The 5595-nt window shown below is 45.4% G+C and overlaps 1 annotated feature.

The window, feature by feature from the left end:
• Positions 2678-2972: an enhancer, noted in NCBI's record as "tiled region #11311; HepG2 Activating DNase matched - State 12:CtcfO". NCBI's record gives its function as "activates a minimal TATA promoter and a strong SV40 promoter by Sharpr-MPRA in HepG2 cells {active_cell/tissue: HepG2}" and the evidence as "EXISTENCE:reporter gene assay evidence [ECO:0000049][PMID:27701403]".

A 5595-nucleotide genomic window follows, 5' to 3' on the forward strand; every position in this document is an offset into this window, starting at 1 on the left:
TGCAGCTGCTTTTTCATCTATTTTTCTGGGTGCTGGACCTTGCTTGTTTGGGCGGAGCATCACTTGTACCTACCTCTTCTCTGGTTTTCTCTCCCGTTATTAGTTAGCTCCTGAAAACCAACACCTCAGACCCTCCCACCTCTGCTCTGACCTCCAGGTTTCTTAAGTTTTTGTTTTCCTCCCAAGGCAGATAACACCAAGTTCTTCATTTCTGTTGTGGCTTCCCAGATCTAGATTTTGGCAGCCCAAGCAGTCCCGAGACCCCTGCCTAACTTCCACACTCGACCAGCCTGACTGTGTCACATCTGTGAGTCACCAGGGCTTCCTGGTGTCAGGAGCTGCTGGACTTCCCTCTTTCTCAGGCTACCTCCTGTTTCAGATATAACCAATTTTCTCCATTGGCAGTCTCTGGTCTGCCCACACTCTGACACAGTCCTTGCCTAGAAAAGAAATATATATGGAGTTTTTGAGTTACATAAATTTTTTATCATTATCTACGTACTTTTTTGTGGGTGGTATGCCCTCGCTGTATGTAGACCCTTGCCTAGCTTCTGGCCATTTGAAGCTGAAACACCCTTGACACTTCCTGCATCCAAGCCTGGGTATTTGGTTAGTACCACCTGACCTCCTGGAGCAGGATGGCATAGCCTTGTCTACCCCACACCTTGTGCCCAGGAGAGACAGTGCTAATCAATCACAGCACTCTTTCCTCCAGTGTCTGGATGAGGTTGCAGATCATTCTCAACCCTATACTCCCAGCAGCTGCAACTACTGAGAGCCGGCACTGAGTGGAACCCTGTTCGCCATCCCTGCACTAAATCATGCCCTTGCCCACACAGATCCACTTTACTGGTCTCTCTTCTGCCTCTCTGGACTTGACCTGTCTCCCGCCTATTTGACAGCTGTAACCTGCCTACAATTCTTCTTAGCTCTTGGCCCCTACCAGACAGCCCTGGAGCCTGCTGGCCTTCAGCTACCAGGTGTTTACAGAATCTGGCTCCGTTATGCCTATTACAGGTCAGATATGACTTCAGGGCCCACATTCCTTCTGCATCATTACCGTACTGTTCCTAGAAGCAGCTTCTCTACATGGGTGTTTAAAATAAGCCTAGAGGAGTCAGAGATCTTTTCTGAAATGTCCTAGTTGTTTTTTTTTTTTTTCTGTGCCATTTATAGGCTTATCTCAGGGACAGAGCTGGACAAGATTGGTTATAAACATTTTTCTGGGATCACTCAGAATTGGGCTTCCTAACTAGGCTCTGCTGTGCATTCCTTATGCCCCTCACAAAGAAAACCCTCACCCCATCCCTCTGTCTCTCAGGATAGATGGTGCTGATGTGGGCCACTGACACAATTTAGCCCTAATGCTGGGTGGTGGAGCTTATGGTGTAAACAGTAGAACATTTAAATACCCTGATCTCCACAGAGTGGGTTGTCCAGTCTTCCCTGTTCTCTTTGGGCCACTTGTCACCTGGTGCCATCTCCTGCCCTAGAAAGGCCAAGCAGGATTGGTTAGAGGCCTGGGACAGGATGCCAACTCCCAGGGCCAAGGCTGTAGAGAGAAATGCACTCTTTGCTTGGCCATTCTTTCATGAGGTTGAGCTTCCCTCGGCCCTTCCCACCATTGCAGGGCTGAGATCAGTGTGTTGCCGGAGAAGAGGCCCAGGAGGCCGGCCAGTCTACCTTCAGCATCTGCTGCTTGGGCCACCTAATCTCAAGCATTTCAAGGAGTCAGCCTCTGTGGTGGGTTTCACAGAGAACCATATGCTAATTGAAGAGGTCACAGACTTGCTGCCTGGGGGCACCTACAGCCCTCATGATACTTAAAAAAATAAAAATTATAGGATGACAGCAAGAGTGAGGGCAAATAAAAATAAAATAAAACTAGCTGTCCATGTTTAAAAATTGGGGATTTCATGTGAAATTCCAGATGTCTGCTTCCTTCTGAAAAATAAGATGCTCTGTCAAAATTGGGCCCCTATTCTCCTAGCAGACATCGGCAGAAGTCAAGCAATGGCTCCTCATGTAGGTGGGGCTATGGGCTGAATTGTGTCCCCCAAAATTCACATGTCAAAGTCCTAACCCCTAGTACTTCAGAGTGTGACCATTTTTGGACATAGGGTCTTTAAAGAGATAACTAAGTTAAAATGAGGGCATGAGGGTTGGGCCGTAATCCAATATGACTGCTGTCCTTGTAAAAAGAGGCAATTAGCACAGACAGACACAGGGTAGATCATGTAGGTACACTAGAAGATAGCCATCTATATGGCCAGGAGAGAAGTCCCAGACCAGCTGGGTTCACACCTTGCTCTTGAACTTCCTTGAAGATGGCCTCAACAACTGTGAGAAAATAAATTTCTGTTGCGTAAGCCCCCAGGCTGTGGTACTTTGTTATAGCAGTCCTGGTGGACTCCTGTAGCTGGCATACTCTTCAGTTTGTCATGGTTCCCTCTGCTTTTCTTCCTGGCCCACTTCACCATTTCTGTGGCCTGCCTGACCCCTGGGGACATATTATTTGTGACCCATGACTCATAGGATCAAAGAGAGTACCTTCTCCTGGTTGGGGGGAAAAGGCTTTTATCTCCTTCCCTCACAGTCTTACAGTGGCAGGTGGAAGGGTTGGAGGTTCTGAATCTTGGCCAAACGTTGATAGATTTCATCTTGAATACGCCTTCTGGGGGGATTCCTTCACAGTCAGAGTGACTTCTGAAGGGAGTGCAGTCAAGACAATCCAAGTTGCCTTCCTGGATGGGGGTTCTGGGGCCTTTGACCTCGTCTACAATTTGGGACACTGAGCTAGTATGGGGAGCTCTGTGGGTGGCTGGTTGTGGAGTCAGGGAAAATCCAGTAGATGGCACCAAGTCAAAGTCTGAAATGAGGGCCACGCAGAGACTAAACATGGAGCATTGATCTGAAGAGGCAGGGAAGAGTGCTTGGAAACTAGGTATGAGGCACCAGAACAGAGAAGGGAGATACAGGACAGAACAGATTTGCTCGGAGTGAGGGTGGAGACCAGCTGGCTTGAGATGCTGGAGAAAGCATCAGGTCTTCTGTAGAGTACCTACAGCTTTGTCCATGGCATGGATGGGAGCTGTTAAAGGGTCTAGAAGAAAGCCATATTGCCTTGCATTCTATAAAAGCCCCCTCTGTGCTCCTCAGTACAACTTATATAGGTTCTAGGCCTATATTTGGGATGCATAAACCAAATTAGAGGGAATATAGTTCACAAAAAGAGACATCCCTACTTCCCCCAGCACCCTAAGACCTCATCAATTCACACATACAGGAATAACACAGACCCAGCCCCCACCCCACCAGATAGCTTCTTCCTAGAATACAATATTTTTATGCTGGCACCTTCTATGTGTGAGGATAGGGTATTGCTTCTTCCTTCCAAGGTTTCTGTCGGGGGTTAGTTTCTGTTTTTGCTAGTGAGGGAGAAGCAGGGCTTTGGAGTAACATGCTGAATAAAGGCCAGCTTTACTTAGTCCAAGGTGAAGCCGACCATGCCAGTGATTGTCCTCATTGCCTATTTTACAGATCTATCCATGCTCATGAAGCAATGTGGGCACCATGCCTTTCATTATTTTAACTGTTCACTGGGTATGGAAAGAAGAAATCATTTTTGTCTTCATTGCAGCGTAACTTTATACACAGAGACTTATGGCCTTTCTTAGTCTCTTTCCTTACAGACCAAACACAGGCCATCTTAGCTGCATTTTCTCACAAGGCTTATTTTTCAAAATTTTAATCATTCTCATTTTCTCTGAAACTTCGTTGATGGATCCGCATCGATTTTGAAATTTGGAACTTGAAGAAGAATACCTGGTATCCCTGCCAGGCTTGTGCTTAGCGAAGGCCAATCAAGAGTAATAAACACATGCCTATTTTTTTTTTTTTTGAGATGGAATCTCGCTCTGTCACCCAGGCTGGAGTGCAGTGGCACTATCTCGGCTCACTACAAGCTCTGCCTCCCCGGTTCACGCCATTCTCCTGCCTCAGCCTCCCTAGTAGCTGGGACTACAGGCGCCTGCCACTGCACCTGACTAATTTTTTGTTTTTTGTATTTTTTTGTATTTTTTTGTATTTTTTTTGTATTTCACCGAAACACATGCCTATTTGACCTCAGAGTAAAATCCCCGCAAGCCCAGCCCAAAACACCATGGTCTGTAGTTACGATGAGGCTCTCTGTGGACTTCCAAACAATTTACGACTCCTCATGCTCGGCCAGACCCACAATCTCAGTTCTCAGCTTGCTGCATATTTGTTCATATAGGAGCCACTTTGTTTTTCTTGATTGTATCTCATTTTATTGACTGGAGCCCAGTCCCTAATTTTGACAATGTACCTATTTGGATATCCTCCCTCACACAATAGGCCGCTGTTTTCACTGTCCTGATACTTCATCATAAGTATTTTAGTTTGACAAGAATCACATCTTTCAAGTACATACTAAGTTGGCTAAAGAGAATCTTTCATTAATTTATTCTTATTTCCAGGAATTATTGAGATTGCATTATGCCAAGGATATGGAGAGTGCAACAGAGAATGAGACGTGGACTGCCCCAGTCTCAAGGGGACGTTTTCTCCTTCCCACCGGCTGCGAGTGGTTATAGGAATTGAATGTATATATTCTCCTCTTTTGGGAACATAATTCAGATTCAGAGTAAACACTTTAAAAAGGTTTATTCAATTGGAAGCATAGTGGCCTGGCTGTTTCCAATAACTAACCCATCCTCCACCCTCTCCTGTACACACACCACTACCATGTTTGTCTCTACCCTAATGCACAGGAGTTTTTAATCTGTAACTGGGATCAGGAAAAGAAGCTGAGGAGGATGGAGGGGAAAATGTAACACCGACGCCACTAAGACACAAGGAGCAGGTGAGTCCTGTGCTTGGGGATACAGGAAGCACGTCAGAGGCTGATGGAACCATTCACAAAGTGAATGCCCAGCGGTGAGTTGAGAGCCACATCAGGAACCCCACATTGTTCTGGAGCTCTGAAGACTGGACGGGTTGGGACCACGAGAAGATAATACCCTTGACATGGGGCTTTGGGTTCTCATAATAAGTGTAGCCATTTGGAGCATGTGGGAGAGACTTATGATTGCTAACTTTGCTCTCCTGATAATTCCTAATAAATGTAGGAAATGGGAATGTGGCAATTTGTTTGGAGGCTTAAGGGGTAGTATTTGAGATCAAAAGTTGCAGATTCTTGGCTATCATGGGCAATGGGCAATGCAGGTAGAGAGGAATGGGGGTAGCAAAAAGAGAAACAATATTATGTTGAGTCTATATTATGTATCAGCACTGTGTTGGGTACTTGATGTATTTTATCTTACCTTATCCACACATTGACTGTGTGAAATAGATATCATCCCTATTTTCAGATAAGTAAAGTGAGACTAATATAGGTTAAGTAATTTGACCAAACCAAGATTTGACTATAAGTCAGCTTGGCTCAAAGACTATATTTTTCCATGATCTCATTGAATCATTTATTGTGAATGGGATTCTTCTTTATACTCTTCCATTGTCATGTCATATGACCTAATCATGTAAACTTGTCTACTTTCGAGGGAAGCCTCATTC

This window comes from Homo sapiens, chromosome 6 (genome assembly GCF_000001405.40).
Source record: "Homo sapiens chromosome 6, GRCh38.p14 Primary Assembly".
Classification (NCBI taxonomy): Eukaryota; Metazoa; Chordata; class Mammalia; order Primates; family Hominidae; genus Homo; species Homo sapiens.